Source organism: Homo sapiens, chromosome 5 (genome assembly GCF_000001405.40).
Source record: "Homo sapiens chromosome 5, GRCh38.p14 Primary Assembly".
Classification (NCBI taxonomy): Eukaryota; Metazoa; Chordata; class Mammalia; order Primates; family Hominidae; genus Homo; species Homo sapiens.
Window position 1 is genome coordinate 154,818,492 of NC_000005.10, and position 17,954 is coordinate 154,836,445.

Genomic DNA, 17,954 nt, shown 5'->3' on the forward strand with positions numbered 1-17,954 from the left:
TTCATGAAGACCAGTTTATTTTACATGCTTGCTTTCACATTCTTTACTGGGAATTTAAGGCCTTTTTTCAGCCTTAACTTGTATACCAACCTCAAGGATTTTGTTTGATACAGAAAAGGATAGGGCTGGGCCCTTCTGCCAAGGACTGATAACCTGCCTGCCAAAAGGAAGAGGGAATGAAAGCCTTTTGTCCTTCTAGGCCCCTTACAGTACCTCAAAATCTAAAGGCCTTAAAGGGGAAAAAAACCGTATCTGTTCTTTCTCCTTATCTCCTACCCTTCTCTTTAAGCATATTGAAGATGGACTTTTTTCCAAATGTTTATTTGTAGGAAGAGGTGATGAGTGCAGGCCAGCAGCTGAGAACTTACAGCTTTGATGCACCAGGAACTGTATTCAAGCTGAGGGCAAAAGCCTCCTAGGGAGGGAGCCAGGTCCACCAAGGCCAGAGACAGACAGGCGAGACTGTGGAAGGCCAGGGAGATGCTGCCTGGTAAGTGCTCAGCTGGCCTACTGGGCAAGTCCTCTGGGGTTCTAGAGCTGATAGGAAGAAGGAGTCCATTTTGATAGTCCTGCCTGGAGACTTGGACCTAGCTGATACTAAGGTATTTTATAAAGCTACAGTGGATGTTTTTCTTAAGAGAACTGAAAGTTGGAAAAGGCACAAGTATATATAAGAATTTAGTAAAATGATAATGGTGGTCTTTCAAATCAAAGAGTGATCTTTAAATTGTTCTTGGGAACCACAGGGTTCCTGGCCATGTCTGGCGGCTGAGAGGAGGCCAGGATGGGGACTTCAACCCAAGCAGCTGTGGTTTTGCCTTTGATAAGGTTCCTGGTAAAAATCATCTTGAATAAATGTTGCTGAGAAACTGGTAAAGCATTCGGGGGAGAAAGGATTTTGCTCTTTGCTCTGCCATGTTTTTCCGGGCTCTTTCTTCGGGGAGAAAGAGGGCTCTAACCTTTGGTCCTCATTCAGATAGGCTAATTAGGGGTCTCGGGTGTCCCCAAAGGGCAGCAACTTTGACCCCTCCCCTTGTGGGTAAAAGGGCTTTTCACAGTTTCCCAGCAGTTGGTTTTTGGTTTCCACATAAGGCTAAAGGTGTTAAAGTTTGGTCTGCACCTCGTTGGTTTTAATCCAGGGAGGAGCTCCTGGATTTCTTTTTCTCCCCCACAGAGGGAAACCTTTTGTTTGCGGTGGGCCAGAGTTAAAACGGGGCCTTTACCACTCACTCAGAGTGTTTGGTGTGTGTATGTTTGTGTGTGTGTTGGGTGAAGTGGCGACTGGCATCTGGTATGTCATGAATTGAGACCTATAATGATTTGCCAGGGTGTCTTGGCTCTGGCCTGAGTCGGGTATGTGAAAGCCTTTTGGGGCAGGAAGGGGCAAAGTGATACCTGGCCGTCCCACCCTCTGGTCCCAGAAGGAGCTCTCGCTGGAGCCAGGCAGCCTCCAGTCCCCCTCCTTTCAGCCTTGTCATTCTCTGCATCCTGCCCAGGCCACAAAGGAGTTATCTGGGGCTGAACCCCTCTCCTTCCACAGCAGAGGACCAGGGGTCTCCTCCCTCTGACCAGCCTCCAGTCTGGGGAGCTGTGTTTTCCTTTTTCTTAAGCTAACTCCTGATCCCATTGAGGGACATCAAGGGCAGTAGTTTGAAGAAAGCCTCATCCTTGGCCCTGCTTTTCCGGGAAGCCGACCTTCCCTCTACCCTGGTGGTGCCATCATTAGGGCGTGTGGCCGAAGGAGGCAAATTGTTAGGTGCAATCAGGAAGCCGTGTCTGCATCCCATGGCTGAGGGACAGCCAGGATGACACTTAGGCTGTCTCTCACTCCATCCTCTTTGGGGAGTCTGGGATGCTCTCAGAGAGCGGGGTGAAGCCCAGCAGGAGGACATGTCTCTCGTAGGCCTTGGTCTGCTTGAACATGGTGTCAGTCCCATGGAGGTGGTCCAGCACACCCAGCACCCCATAGCACTGGTTGAACCTAGAAGAGAGAGGACGGCACTGCAGTGCCCATGCTGGAGGCTTCCGTGCAGATCCCATTTCATTTGTGCCAGCCTCACACATTTCTCAGCCCTCCTACCCCACACCTGTCACCACCATCCTGACCATCTGCATCAGAATAAGCTGGGGAGTTGCTACCAATGCATCTCCCGGGGGCCACTCCAAACCTGCAATTTGCCGTATCTGGAGTCCTCCTTTGAAAAGCTTGCTGTGTGATTGATGCCCACAGTCTGAGAATCTCTAGCAGAACTAGGCTTCTTCAGGTATGAGATCACCAGCATCAGAATCCCCTGGAACACTTAACTAAAATGCAGGTTTCCAGGCCCTGCTCCCCCAGATACCTTAGTTCAGCATATTTGGAGTGGAATTCAAGAGCCTATATTTTAAACAAGCATCTCAGGTGATTCTGGTATAGGAGGTTTGTAGACTACACTTGAAAAAGTCTGGGGCTTTCAGAGATACATGACTTCCTTGTGATTGCCTGCAGGAGTTTTATGCATATATGTACTTTTCTAAAGAGAATGTCCAGAGCTTATTCAAAGGGCCCAGAGTCCAAATAAAGGTTTAAAACCCCCAGTTGGAGGAGGACCCAATTTCAGAAGGAAAAGAGTAAGGTCATCCCAGTGTGGTTATTTTCCCAGCCATCAGACCTCTTCCCCAACTAGCACTCACATGTAAACTGAGATACCAGTGCCTGCTATCAGAAGCTTAAGGAGGGAGGGTGATGGTTGTTGCCTAGGGACCCATTGTGGGGAGAAGGTCCTTACTTGAGATGGTGGTAGTCGTGGAATTCAGGCGAAGGCAGGAAGGGAAGGTGGTAGCCACAGTGGGAGATGGTGGTGATGATGAGGGCCAAGGAAAACCACATGGTGATGGAGGACAAGTGGGAGCCCATTACTAATGGGCCCACTATCACCGGTAGCATGTTGGAGACCTGCAAGAGGAGGGATGATTGAAGGCAGGGTCCAGGGAGATGAAGGGACTTAGTTGGGTATACACTTAGTCCCAAGGTGGTACCAGAGGCAAACTTCCTTGACCCAGATCTGGAGAAGGTGAGAGTTTCGGGACTTTGATTTGTTGAAGGCATTCACCTTTGTAACTTGGGACAAATTACGCAGTTTGAGCCTCAACTTTCTTGTTAGCAAAATTAAGATTAAAAAGGTTGTTGGAGGAGCCAGGTGTGGTGATTCATGCCTGTAATCCCAGCAATTTGGGAGACAGAGGTGGGAGGATTGCTTGAGGCCAGGGGTTCCAGCCAGTCTGGGCAAAATAGCAGGATCCCGACTCTACAAAAAAATTTAAAAATTAGCCAGATGTGGCCAGGTGCGATGGCTCACTCCTATAATCCCAACACTTTGGGAGGCCAAGGCGGGTAGATCACGAGGTCAGGAGTTTGAGACCAGCCTGACCAACATGGTGAAAACCTGTCCTACTAAAAATACAAAAATCAGCCAGGCGTGGTGGCACACGCCTGTAATCCCAGCTACTCAGGAGGCTGAGACAGGAGAATGGCTTGAACCCGGGAGGCGGGAGATTGCAGTGAGCCGAGATCATGCCATTGCACTCCAGCCAAGATGACACAGTGAGACTCCAGATTTGGTGGTGCACACGTGTGGTCTCAGCTATTTGGAAGTGCACACGTGTGGTCTCAGCTATTTGGAAGACTGAAGCTAGAGGATCACATGAGCCCAGGGGTTGGAGGCTGCAGTGAGCTATGATCACACCACTGCACTCCAACCTGGGTGACAGAGCAAGACCCTGTCTCAAAAAGAAAAAAAGAAAGTTGTTGGGATGATTAAATGAGACAACTGTGTTAGCACTTAACATAGCCTGGCATATGGAAGGCTGACAATAAATGGTAGCTATTTTTAAATGGGAAGAAAAAGGGCCGGTGTGGTCTAAGTTCTCTGCAGGAGACCTTCAGGAAGGTGGTTGGGGCCATCTGCCCTTTGCTCTGGGGAGCATAGAGCTCTACTCACTGCATGCTCTATAGGGTGGGCATAGAGAGAGATCACGCCAATGGGAGCTGTCCACTCATGGTGTTTCTTGTGGATTTTCTTGTAGAATGTTGGGTGGTGAAGGAGCCTGGGGAAATAGTTAATAGTTAATAACCTGCTGATTCCTCTTTCTCCCTCCCCGACCAGACCATGAGAAACCAAAAATAGGAACTAGGGGTTACATCCATGGAGCAAAGTTAACAACACCAAGACCTGCCTTCAAATTTCAACCCCAGCCCTTATACTGCATAGTTTGGGAGTGGGTTGCTTTGCTTCTCTATGCCAGTTGTATTCGCTGTAAAATGGGATGCTGCCCAGAAAGGACTGAATAAGGAAATGAATGGGAAACTGCCCTGGCTCCCACACAATCAGAGAGGCCTTTTCTCTTTTGGACATTCATTCCTCAGTTGTCCCAAGTTGTCAGTTATGAGACAACTAGTGGTCTCCCTGTTAACTATTTAATGGGACACTTGAGGCCAGGGAGTATTTTACTGGCCTACACTCAATTCAGAAGCCTGTTCCCTTTTATTTTTTTTCTTTGAGACAAGGTCTTGCTCTTTCGCCCAGGCTGGAGTGCAGTGGTGTGATCACAGCTCACTATAGCCTTGACCTCCCGGGCTCATGTGATCCTCCCACCTCAATCTCCCAAGTAGCTGGGACTACAAGTACACACCACCATGCCTGGCTAATTTTTTAAATTTTTTTGTAGAGACGGGGTCTCCTGACATTCCCCAGGCTAGTCTCAAACTCCTGGGCTCAAGTGATCCGCCCACCTCAGCCTCCCAAATTGCCAGGATTACAAGCGTGAGTCACTGCACCTGGCCTCAGTTTCCTTGTTGATCAGTGAGCCCTAGACAGGATGAGGAGCCAGCTGTGCCTCAGGCAGGGCCTGCTCACCGGTGTGAATAGTAGAACAAGACTTCCTCGATCAGCGTGAAGATGGCCAGCTCCAGGAGGAACCAGTGGAAGGTGGGTAGCTCACGGCGGCAGGGGTCTCTCCACCATTTGAGGAAGGGATAGAGGAAGACCACCATGGGGAAAGATATCATGCACTGGTTGAAAAGAACTGTGCGGATAGACTGGCGCAGTTTCACAGGATCCACCTGCCCAAGGGAAGGGAGGAGGGAGATGGATAAGAGTGTGAGAAGTAGGCTCCACCGTGACCTGCTTACAGGAGGCCCTCACTCTGGTTGGATTCTGGGAGAGATGTCGGGGGACAGCCAGTAGCTCCTGACTGCCACCCAGCTCTGGGCCTGGAAACGTTGCAGAATAAGGCCCTGGCTGCTAGGCAGGTGAGTAATACCCCTGTCCTTGGAAACTTCAGCAGCCTTCAGTCTGTGTCGGAACCTGCCTTCTTCCTGGTTCTGCACATTATCACCACTGCCCTCCCCATTTCTCTGGCCAGGCCCCATGTATTTACAGGTAACTTGGGTAGCCTCCATGGTGCTTGGAGAAGGCTGTGACTTTCTGAGTGATACCCCATTTCAGCCATTTAGCCCCTCTTCATCAGAGAACCTTGTTCATGATTGGATGCAGAGATCAAGATCATCTGCCTCCTCAAGTGGTCCAGCCTCCCTGCAGTAGGCCCAGAGCAAAGAAGCAGGTAAGCCAAGGAACTGCTTATCCAGCTTCTTGACCAACTTGCTGGTTTTCACAGTGATGCTGTGAAGATGGGGGCCTGCCCAAGCATTTCCACCAGGGTCCACTGTACAGAGCTGGTCCCAAGTGTCCAAAGTCCATTTGGCCTCAATACTGCAGCCAATATTTCCCCCAGAATCAGCAACCCTTTGACCCTTCCCTTTGTCAGAGCACTGGGGCTCCAGGCAACAGTCCTGTGACCATAGATTACTTCCTGGATCCTGATGAACTTGTTTGGTTAGAAGGGATTTCTCCAAGTTCCCTCTGTGAGCTGGAGGGATTTCTGCCCCAAAGCGCGACAGGTTCAGAATGGTCCCCAGCTTGAGGCCTGCCTCTTCCTCCAGCCTTTCCAGGCACTGCATGCATTAACTGATTTCAGAATTCACTCTTTGTTTACTTCCATCCCATTGCGAGGCCAGGTCTCGCCAGCCTGTTGTGAGAGGACATGTTAGGTGAGGCCATTACACCTTCTGGAAACCTTGACCAAGAGGCGGGGTATCACATCTATCTATTCATTTATTTATTTAACTGATATTTATTGAGTACCCACTATGTAGCACTCAGTGTACTGGGTGTTGAAAATAAAGCATGAGCAAAACAAAGATTCCTGCCCCCATGGAATTTATGTTCCAGTGAGAAAGGTAGACTAGACACAACAAATATAAAAACATATATATCAGGCTGGGCACGGTGGCTCACACCTGTAATCCCAGCACTTTGGGAGGTGGAGGTGGGAGGATCACTTGAGGCCAGGAATTTGAGAGCAGCCTTGGCAACATCACGAAACCCCATCTAATTTTTTTTAAAAAGCTGGATGTGGTGGTGTGCACCTGTAGTCCCAGCTATTCAGAAGCCTGGGGTGGAAGGATCATGTGAGTCCAGGAGTTTAAGGCACACCAGCCTGCGTGAGAGAGTGAGACCCAATCTTGTTAAAAAAAAAAAAAAAAAAAAAAAGGGCCAGTCGCTGTGGCTTACGCCTGTAATCCCAGCACTTTGGGAAGCCAAGGTGGGCAGGTTATGAGGTCAGGAGATTGAGACCATCCTGGCTAACATGGTGAAACCTCGTCTCTACGAAAAATACAAAAACTTAGCTAGGCGTGGTGGCATGCACTTGTAGTCCCAGCTACTCGGGAGGCTGAGGCAGGAGAATCACTTGAATCCGGGAGGCGGAGGTTGTAGTGAGCCACCGAGATCATGCCACTGCACTCTAGCCTCGGTGACAGAGCAAGACTCCATCAAAAAAAAAGGCAGGCCGGTGCTGTGGCTCATGCCTGTAATCCCAGCACTTTGGGAGGCCAAGGCAGGCAGATCACGAGGTCAGGAGTTTGAGACCAGCCTGACCAATACGGTGAAACCCTGTCTCTACTAAAAATACAAAAATTAGCCAGGCATGGTAGTGTGCGCCTGTAATCCCAGCTACTCAGGAGGCTGAGGCAGGAGAATCACTTGAACCCGGGAGGTTGCAGTGAGCCGAGATTGCTCCATTGCACTCCAGCCTGGGTGACAGAGTGAGACTCCGTCTCAAAAAAAAAAAAAAAAAAGCAGTAATATAGACAAGAGAAGATGGTGAATTAGACCAGGGTAATAGTGATGGAAGTGGTGAGAAGTGGTAAGAAGTGACTGGATTCTGAATTTATTTCAGAAATAGAGTTAATAGGGTTCCTGGATAGATTGGATGTGGAGTATGAAGGAAAGAGAGTAGTCAAGAATGACTCCAAGGTTTTTGGCCTGAGAAACTGGAAGATTGGAATTGCCATCCACTCAGATTGGGGAGGTTGTGGGTAGTAAGTAAAGGCTTTGGCAGGACGATCAGAAATGCTCTTTTGGACATCATGAATTGGCAATTTCTATTAGTATCCACGTGGAGATGTCAAGGAGGGAGTTGGATATTTCAGCTTGGAATTCAGTAGAGAGTTCTGGGCTAGAGAGATAAATGTGTGAGCTGTCGGCCTATGGATGGTATTTAAAGTCATGGCACTGAAGAGATAACTGGGGGAATGAATATAGAGAAGAGGACCAAGGCCAGAGCCCATGGGACATTCAGCATGAAGAGGTTGGGGAGAAGAGAAGGAATCAGGAAAGGGACAGTGAAAAAGTGAACAATCAGATGTGATGGGGAGCCGGGCGCGGTGGCTCATGCCTGTAATCCCAGCAGTTTGTGAGGCCGAGGTGGATGGATCACCTGAGGTCAGGAGTTCAAGACCAGCCTGGGCATCTTGGTGAAACCCCGTCTCTACTAAAAATACAAAAAATTAGCTGGGCATGGTGGCAGGTGCCTGTAATCCCAACTACTGGGGAGGCTGAGGCAGGAGAATCGCTTGAACCCGGGAGACAGAGGTTGCAGTGAGCCAAGATTGCGCCATTGTACTCCAGCCTGAGCAACAGAGCAAGACTGTCTCTAAAAAAAAAAAAAAAAAAAGAAAAGAAAATATTGAGGGGCTACCTAGAGAGCAGGGTGTCCTGGAAGCCAAGTGAAAAAAATATTTCAAGGCTGAGGGAGTCAGCAGCTGTGGAAATGTCTCTGGTGCTCTAATGAAACCATATCATTGGTGAACTTACCAAAAGAAATGTTGGTAGAGCCTTTTTCTAGGTGTGACACCTAATTTGGAGGAGGTTTATAGAGAAAATGAGACAATGCTTTTGTGATTACTTTAGGAGAGATGCAGGCTAAAGGATTTAGGGGTCAAGTTTTATGATGTTTCAAACTCACTTTCAAATAGGAAAAATGTATAGATGCATATATATTTATATTTTTATATATAAAGCAAAAATATTTAAAATTGGTGAATCTAAGTGATATGTAAATGCATAATTCTTACATTATTTTTCAACCTTCTGTATGTATTTTTAACATTTTTCATAATTACAGGATGTTGGGGAAAAGAGTAGACAGATGGCCGGGCGTGGTGTCTCACGCCTTTTATCCCAGCACTTGGGGAGTCCGAGGCTAGTGGATCACCTGAGGCCAGGAGTTCGAGACCAGCCTGGCCAACATGGTGAAACCCCATCTCTACTGAAAATACAAAAATTACCCAGGCGTGATGGCACACGCCTGTAATCCCAGCTACTTGGAAGGCTGAGGCAGGAGAATTGCTTGAACCCAGGAAGTGGAGGTTACGGTGAGCCAAGATCGCAGTGCCACTGCACTCCAGCCTGGGTGACAGAGGGAGACTGTCTCAAAAAAAAAAAAAAACCAACAAAACCCAAATAAGAGTGGACAGACAGGAATTGGAAACTATAAAGATAACTCTCTCAAAGAACTTTGCTAGTTAAGAGTTGTTTTTTCTGTTATTTTGTGTGTGTGTGTGTGTGTGTGTGTGTGTGTGTGTGTGTATGTCTGTTTTTTTGTGAGAGAGGATCTCACTCTGTCACCCAGGCTGGAGTGCACTCTTTGTTTACTTCCATCCCATCGCGAGGCCAGGTTTCGCCAGCCTGTTGTGAGAGGACATGTTAGGTGAGGCCATTACACCTAACCGTAGCTTACTGCAGCCTCAACCTCCTGGGCTCAAGCAGTCCTCCCACCTCAGCCTCCCAAGTAGCTAGGACTACAGGCATGCACCATCACACCCAGCTAATTTTTGTATTTTTTGTAGAGACAGTGTTGGGTGGGGTGTTTTGTCATGTTGCCCAGACTGGTCTCAAACTCCTGAGCTTAGGCATTCCTCCTGCCTTGGCCTTACAAAGTGGTAGGATTACAGGTGTGAACTACTCCACCTGGCCTGTTTTTTTTCCTTCTTTTTGAGTCAGTGTCTCACTCTGTCACTCAGGCTAGAGTGTAGTGGTATGATCATAGCTCACTGTAACCTCGACCTCCTGGGCTCAAGCAATCCTCCCGTCTCAGCTTCCCAAGTAGCTGGGACTACAGGCAAACGCCACCTCACTTGCCTAGTTAAAAAATTTTTTGTAGAGATGGGATCTCGTTCTGTCGCTTGGGCTGGTCTCGAACTCCTGGGCTCAAGTGATCCTCCTGCCTCAGACTGCCAAAGTCTGGGATTACAGGCGTGAGCCACCACACCTGGCCTGTTTTATTTATTTATTTTTCTTTTTGAGTCAGGATCTCACTCTGTCACCCAGGCTGATCTCAAACTCCTGGGCTCAAGCGATTCTTCTGGCTCAGCCTCCCAAAGTTTGGGATTACAGTAGTGAGCAACCACACTTGGTGGGGTTTTTTTTGTTTTGTTTTGTTTTGTTTTGTTTTTTAGATGGAAAAAATTTACCACGTTTGTAATAATCTAGAGAGGAATAATGAGAGAAAGAGAAGGAAAAGAAGATACAAGAAAGCAAAGAGAGAATTGCAGCAGCCATTTCCTGGATGTAGTACATGGATAGGGGAGGAATCACCCACAGACAGGAGCAAGGAGAGTTCACCTGTGGTGTCAGGTGGGCAGGCAGAGCATGTGGGTGCAGGTACTGGTCACTGCCCAATGTGGTGTGCATCTATAAAACTCTTCTGCTTGCTTTAGTTTTTTGTTTTTTTTTTCCCCCTAGAGACAGTGTCTCACTCTGTCTCCCAGGCTGGAGTGCAATAGCACAACCATGGCTCGCTTCAGCCTTGAACTCCTAGGTTCAAGTGATCCTCCTGCCTTGACCTCCTGACTAGCTGAGACTACAGACACACGCCACTGTGCCCGGCTAATTAAAATAATTTTTTTTGTAGAGACAGGGATCTCACTATGTTGCCCAGGCTGGTCTTGAACTCCTAGCATCAAGCGATCCTCCTGTCTCTGCCTCCCAAAGTGCTGAGATTACAAGCCTGAGCCACTGTGCCCCAGCCTGCGTAAATTTTCTTTTTTTCTTTTTTTTTTTTTTTGAGGCAGAGTCTTGCTCTGTCGCCCAGGCTGGAGTGCAGTGGTGCAATCTCGGCTCACTGTAACCTCTGCCTCCCAGGTTCAAGCAATTCTCCTCCAGGCATGCGCCACCATGCCCAGCTAATTTTTGTATTTTTAGTAGAGGCAGGGTTTTGCCATGTTGCCCAGGCTGGTCTTGAACTCCGGAGCTCAAGTGATTTGCCCATCTCGGCCTCCCAAAGTGCTGGGATTACAGGCATGAACCACCACGCCCAGGCTTAAATTTTCTTAGTGAAATGGGAAGCAAGGCCCCTCCCTCTGCCAGCAGTTAGGGGAGGAGGTGTGAACTAGCCATTCAGGCAGTGGGAGAGTAAACAGAGCAGGAATGGATCATAGGAACACCAGGTAGCATTCAGCTCCCCACTTGAGGATCTGTTTCTGATGTGTTAGTTCAGGGGCCAGTCCTTCCTTGAAACAGCCAAAGATTAAATGGCCTCGTGAGGTTCTTTCCTGCTTGTGTGCCCACTTGAGGGTGCATGTGGTACAGGAACACTGGACTTGGTGTCAGATGGGATGAGCCCTGGCTCTGTTTCCTAGCAGCAATCTGATCTTGAGCTAGTCACTGGACATTTCTGAACCTCAGCTTCTGCAGAATGCAATGACATCTTCCAATGTAGCTCTGTAGTCATTGTGTAGACCACAAGGTTGTACAGACGGCAGGTAATATTCTGGAGAGCCAATTAAGAATGTGAGCCCTGAAGTCACAAAGCCTGCATTTGAATCATAGTTTACCCGTGTAACACCTCTGTTTCCTCATCTGAACAGTGAAGGTTCTTGGCCTCAGTTGAAGATGTGAGCATTTAGTCAGTGGTGCTACAACAGCCGTGGTTGACAGATGAAGTGTTCTCAAGGACCAAGCACAGGGTTTGACACTTTAGGCTCTGATTCATGTCCTGCCAAGCTGGGCCTGGAGGAAGCCCCCAAGCCTGGCTGGCAGCTGTTGTCCCAAGTGAGGGGGACAGTAAGCCAGGCCAGCAGTCCAGTTCAGGAAGGGGCCCACTTCAAAGGAGTGGGTCAAGAGCACTGTTTGCCTTTCTGGAGTGCTGGGCTGGGGCAAAAGGACCTGAGAGCTGAGGTGGTTCACCCAGACACCTGGGCAGATGACTAAAAGATGATTGTCTTGTCTGGGAAAGAAGCCAGGATGTGGTTTGGGTGGAGCTGGGTAAAGAACCTGGGTTTCAGAATCAACTTCTTCCTTGTTGTGTAGGAAAAGGCGAGCCAGACTCAGGGAACAGTGGGACCCACTTCCCGGCGCTGTGCAAGTCAGAGTTCCTTGTAAGCAGGGTCTGGGCCTCACTTATCATGGATTTGCCCTGGTGCCTTTCACTATTGGTCGAATTGAGTATTTCGGAAGGAGAACTTGTTTAAAAGACAGCCACCGCCCACACATTCAGAATCCATACTATCCGTCTATTACAGTGGAGTTATCCATTGTTTTCGCAGCTGTCTCCCTCTCTCATAACAACAGCTGTTACCCATATTCTAGCATCCACCCATTGCTGTCTCCATTCCTATGGGTAAAGTGGAGTTGCCTGCCTTCTCAGTGCCAGGCTGACCACAGTGCCATGGGGCACCACAGGCAGGTCCAGAGCCTGGGCCAGGAATCAAGAGACCAGAACACTGGTCTTGACTGGCCACTAGCTGAGTGACTCTGAGGTTGTGGGCAAATTATTTCCTCTCTTTAACCTTCTAAACTGGGGGAGCCTTGTTGCTAATAACTTGGCTCACACTGGCCAGGTCTCTCCTGGGCCAGTGGTGAGAATTCTGAGAGTGTGGCTTTGGCTCTTGCTTTCTGTGCTTTGACCAGAAGTTGCAACAACACTTACAGGTTCATTCTTGCCGACCTGAATTCGGTAGCGAGAGATGAAGTTAGGTTTTCCTGTTGTGTCAACCACCAATAGAAGCCCATTGAAGCTCCAGAAGAAGAGACAAGGCACTTGGATGGCACCTGAGATTGGGAAACAGAAACAGTCAGGGCGACTTTGGGTTCTCACAGCACATAGACTAACAGAACATACTTTTTTGTGGTGACTGAGGCTTCATCCTAGACATTTCTTTGCCAGGGAGGTCTTAGGGCTTGGGACCAAGGGGTTACCTGTAGTCTTGGGTAGGAACTTGGACAGGCCATTTAAGGAGTGTCTCCATTTTCTTAGCCATAAAATAGGGACAACCTTCAAGGTGGTTGGTGGTTTTCATATAAATACATATGAAAGTATGTTAAGATATATAATACCCTCTAAAATAGAAATGAATTCAGGTTGACATTTGGGAGTCTGCGCCCACTGAACCCTTTATGAATTGCCAAGGAAGGAGAAGCAAAGGAAGTACTCTGTATGGTATGGGTCACAGTGAGCCCTGGGCTAGGAGTCAGTCAGGAAACTTAATCCCTGTCATCCTACTAACTGAGCAGCAGAACTTCAGGTGTCATCTAGTCAGTATAAGTGGAAAACTCATCGTTGTTTTTTTTTTGTTGTTTGTTTGTTTGTTTTTTTGAGACAAAGCCTCTCTCTGTCATCCAGGCTGGAAGTGCAGTTGTGTGATCATGGCTCACTGTAGCCTCGACCTGCCAAGCCGAAGTGATCCTCTTGCTTCAGCCTCCTGAATAGTTGGGGCTACCGGCACCTGCCACCATGCCCAGCTAGGACTCGGCTTTGCTTAATTCCATGTCTGTGCCCCTCCACCAGCACCCTTCATGCTCCATCAACCGAAGTAACTGTGGCGGCTGGGACTTGGAAAATACTTGCCAGCACTGTAGGGGAGTAGGATTGGTACAAACCTTCTAGAGGGCAATTTGGCAGTAACTGAAGTAATAAAGTGAGAGAGTCAGAGAGCCAAGACAGAAAGGGAGAAAGAAGAAAAGGACACACGTCTGTTTGTATGCATAAATGTCCGTCACAGCATTAAAAAAAAAATTTAAGCAGCCTAAATACCCATTAGTAGGGAAGGGACTAAACAGATTAGAGTATTTCCATATAATGGAATAGAATGGGAAGCTTAGAGTATTAAGTAAGGCTACATTAATAGGCATGGAAAGATACCTACAATCTATTCAATGAAAAAAAGATTTAAAAATAGTTGGTATCTCATAAGTACAACTATATACCCAATATATAAAAGATGCACACTAATATATAAACAGTGGTTATTTCTTGAAGGTAAGACAGTGGGTGATTTTCACACTTTCTATGCTTATTTGAATTGCCTGATTTTTATTTTTAACAATGAGCACATATTTACTTTTGTTTTTTTTTTTTTTTGAGACAGAGTCTTGCTCTGTCACCCAGGCTGGAGTGCAGTGGCGTGAGCTCAGCTCGCTGCAAGATCTGCCTCCCGGGTTCACGCCATTCTCCTGCCTCAGCCTCCTGAGTAGCTGGGACTACTGGCGCCCGCCACCGCGCCCGACTAATTTTTTGTATTTTTAGTAGAGACGGGGTTTCACCATGGTCTCGATCTCCTGACCTCATGATCCGCCTGCCTCGGCCTCCCAAAGTGCTGGGATTACAGGCGTGAGCCACTGCGCCTGGCCCATATTTACTTTTATACCCAGAAAAAATAAACTATTTTTTACTTTGGAAAAAAAAGGCTGATGGTTACCCAGTGGGCCATCCAAGGTGTCTACCTACTTGGAACTTCAAAGGCTGCCTGAGGAATACAGATGAAAAGCACACCGTAAGACGATCTTAAACTTCTTCTAGCTCTAACACTTAAAATTGGAAATATTTTCTCTCTCTCATATTGGCTTATCACCAAGGTAATAGGTAATTTTCACAGGATTGTACCTAACATATATAAAATATTTGAGGTTTTTTTAGATTGCAGGTTCAAGCTAATAAAGTTTTTCTACCACCTTCTCCATATACATAGGTAATCTGCATTGTTCAATGACTGCTTAAGATCCCATTAAATCTGTCATATTTAATGTTCAGCCCATTGTCAGAGTCCTCCTTCTAGTTGAAAACAATCCTCAGGTGCATTTTGCTTTATAGCAACTGACACTTTTTATCTTCCCTTCTAGACTATGACATCATTTTTTAATGGGGGAGGGAAACATTTCATTTAAATACTTCTTTTTTTTTTTTTGAGACAGGGTCTTGCTCTGTCACCCAGGCTGGAGTGCAGTGGTGCTATCTCAGCTCACTGCAACCTCCACCTCCTGAGTTCAAGCGATGCTTGTGCCTCAGCCTCCTGAGTAGCTGGGATTACAGGCACGCACCACCACGCCTGGCTCATTTTTTGTACTTTTAGTAGAGACAGGTTTCACTATGTTGGCCAGGCTGGTCTTGAATTCCTGGCCTCAAGTGATCTGCCTGCCTCAGCCTCCCAAAGTGCTGGGATTACAGGTGTGAGCCACTAATCTTGGCCTATCTTAATTTTTGTTTTTTTTTTTTTGAGACAGAGTCGTGCCCTATTGCCCAGGCTGGAGTGCAGTGGCACCATCTCGGCTCACTGCAACCTCTGCCTCCCAGGTTCAAGCAATTCTCATGCCTCAGCCTCCTGAGTAGTTGAGATTACAGGCACGCACCACCACACCCAGCTAATTTGTGTGTGTGTGTGTTTTTAGTGAAAAAGGGATTTTGCCATATTGGCCAGGCTGGTCTCGAACCCCTGACTTCAAGTGATCCACCTGCCTTGGCCTCCCAAAGTGTTGGGATTACAGGCGTGAGCCACTGTGCCCAGCCCCATCTTAAATATTTCTTTCTTTCTTTTTTTTTTGAGACGAAGTTTCACACTGTCGCCCAGCTGGAGTGCAGTGTCATGATCTTGGCTCACTGCAACCCGCCTCCCAGGTTCAAGTGATTCTCCCTGCCTCAGCCTCCCAAGTAGCTGGGATTACAGGAGCCTGCCACCATGCCCAGCTAATTTTTTTGTATTTTTAGTAGAAACGAGGCTTCACTATGTTGGCCAGGTTGGTCTCAAACTCCTGACCTCGTGATCCACCTGCCTCAGCCTCCCAAGGTGCTAGGATTACAGGCGTCAGCCACCACGCCTGGCCTCCCATCTTAAATATTTCTATATCCTCGATACAAGTGTAGCACATAGTAACATTATATATTATATGTCATATTAATAATATAAATAAATGTATATTATATATAATATATATTAAATAAATTGTATATAATTATTATTTGAGTGAATGTATGATCGAGGACATTCACTATTATAGATAATGCTGTTATAAATATCTATGTTTACATGGCTTTTCCTTCCATCTATTTACTTAGGCTTGTTTGGAGCCATTGAAGCTGTCAGTAAATATTTATTGACTGGCCACTTGCTGTCAAGCACTGACTGTACCAGGTACAGGGTACATAGTCTCAGACAAGACAGGGCAGCTCTCTGTGCTTGTGGAATTAAGTGTAGAAACAGGATTATTGCTCTAAATGTGCATTCATTTTTACATAAAATATTTCTTATTTTTCTATATTTTGGGAGGAGTCTTAACTTCTCAGCTTCTTTTTTTAGACATCCTGTTTTCAGACTGCCCACAAGTTTAGTATTCTTTGGGACTACCACTTTTTTGAAGTTCAAGTCCTCATCCCTTGGAATAATAAACTGAAAAGTCCCAAAGTAGAGAACAAAACAACAAAAAGAATTAAGTTATAATCATGCACCCACATGCTAGGTGCTGGTGGTCTGGGAACCTCACCTATAAAGAAGAGGATCCACTCCTTCCCTTCAAATGTAGTCAGCAGCCTCTCCCACTGGGCTTGCCAAAAGTAGCCAGAAGCACCCCAAAATCTCTGAAGATGCCTTGGAAAAAAAACCAGGTTTCTGGGTGAAGACTAGTGGGTGGACAGCTCCTTCCCCTATGCTCTGCCCCCGACCACCACCACACTGCACCCTAGCTGGGTGGAGCCGACTTACCATGTCACTGAGTTCCAGAAGGCCACAAATGAGAGAAGTCCAGAGCCCAGGATGAAAGCTGTCCTCCTCATAGAGCCCCAGATGTGTCCCTCCTGGAGGAGGGCAGGGAAGTGTCAGACCCCAGCAAGCCTCCTGCCTTTACACCCAGCTCACTGCTGAGGCACAGCGGGAGTGCTGTAGGATCAGCATCTCAACCAACCAGGAAGGCACATCTGCGTTTTCCAGCTGGCCTTTTCCAGCTTCTGTGGGAGCCTCTTCCTTATCAGGAGCTCTCAGGCTGTACATGGGTGTGTTTATGAAAATTAGAGCTCAAGTTGGGGGAGGGAAGGGAATTAGCCTGACTCCAGAGAAACTAGCAGGCAATTCTGTCAGTCAGAGGACAGGCGAGCCTCTATCAGCCATAGGATTTCATCACCAGTCCTCTTGGCAAATGGAGATACCCATTATCTACACATTGAAATCACCTGGGAGCTTAAAAAAAGTCCCAATACCCAGGGTCCCCTCCAATCCAATTACATAAAGAGTCCCTGGGGGTGGGACCTGGGCTCCCCAGTTAATTCCAATGGGCAGGCAAGGTTGAGATAGTCATCATAGCAGCATCTGCCAAAACCATGATGAGGAAATCCTTTCCCAGTCATACAGGCTTCACTGTGTGCATAGGCCAGGCCCATTTCTTCCATCCCTACCCTCCTCTTATTTTAGAAGGAAAGAGTGAATTGTACACGTTTTCTGACTTTTTTTGTTTTTTTGTTTTTTGAGACAGAGTCTCGCTCTGTCGCCCAGGCTGGAGTGCAGTGGCACGATCTTGGCTCACTGCCAGCTCCGCCTCCCGGGTTCATGCCATTCTCCTGCCTCAGACTCTGGAGTAGCTGGGACTACAGGAGCCCGCCACCACACCCGGCTAATTTTTTTGTATTTTTAATAGAGACGGGGTTTCACTGTGTTAGCCAGGATGGTCTCCATCTCCTGACCTTGTGATCTGCCCGCCTCAGCCTCCCTAAGTGCTGGGATTACAGGAGTGAGCCACCGCGCCCGGCCGACTTTTTTTTTTTTTTTTTTTTTTTTTTTTTTGAGGCAGTGTTGCTCTGTCACCCAGGCTGGAGTGAAGCACCATCTTGGCTCACTGCAACCTCCGCCTCCAGGGTTCAAGTGATTCTCCTGCCCCAGCTTCCTGAGTAGCTGGGATTACAGGCACCTGCCACCATGCCCACCTAATGTTTGTATTTTTAGTAGCGAAGTTAGCTGGGGTTTTGCCATGTTGGCCAGGCTGGCCTAGAACTCTAAACCTCAAGCAATTCACCTGCCCCATCCTCCCAAAGTGCTGGGATTACAGGCACAAGCCACTGTGCCCGGCCACTTTCTGACTTTTAATAACCCCTCTCTGCCTTCCAGCAAGATTAGCCCAGGCTCCCAGCTGGACAAGACGACTAGCCATTCTGAGGGTCAAGGAGAGACCACTGGAAATCACTGAGAGGTCCTTGTATATTCTCCTCCAAAAGGTTCTCCTCTAAACCAGAAGTCATTGTGAGCTCGATGACCAAACAATGCCCCAGATTCAGAGAGGGAAAACACCAGCTGCCAGGTGTATCACCAATTTCCGTTG

At 47.6% G+C, this 17,954-nt stretch overlaps 1 protein-coding gene and 1 non-coding gene across 5 annotated transcripts in view; one reads left to right on the forward strand and one right to left on the reverse strand.

Moving 5' to 3' along the window:
- FAXDC2 (fatty acid hydroxylase domain containing 2) overlaps positions 1-17,954 on the reverse strand; it is a 32,112-nt gene continuing 14,158 nt past the window's right edge. For 2 of the 4 annotated variants that reach the window (NM_032385.5, XM_006714753.3), the window contains 7 exons: positions 16,352-16,443; positions 16,134-16,237; positions 12,310-12,431; positions 4,896-5,101; positions 3,981-4,086; positions 2,769-2,935; positions 1-1,981 (listed from right to left, as the gene is read on the reverse strand). In NM_032385.5, coding sequence (NP_115761.2) covers positions 1,825-1,981; positions 2,769-2,935; positions 3,981-4,086; positions 4,896-5,101; positions 12,310-12,431; positions 16,134-16,237; positions 16,352-16,443 — 954 coding nt within the window. In that variant the 3' untranslated portion in view covers positions 1-1,824. Of the gene's footprint in view, positions 1,982-2,768; positions 2,936-3,980; positions 4,087-4,895; positions 5,102-12,309; positions 12,432-16,133; positions 16,238-16,351; positions 16,568-17,954 lie in introns of those variants that run through there. The other 2 variants (XM_047416652.1, XM_047416654.1) reach the window with 2 other exon arrangements.
- Positions 10,967-11,049, forward strand: MIR378H (microRNA 378h). Its single transcript, NR_039667.1, has one exon. It is a non-coding gene; the product is annotated as a microRNA 378h (primary transcript).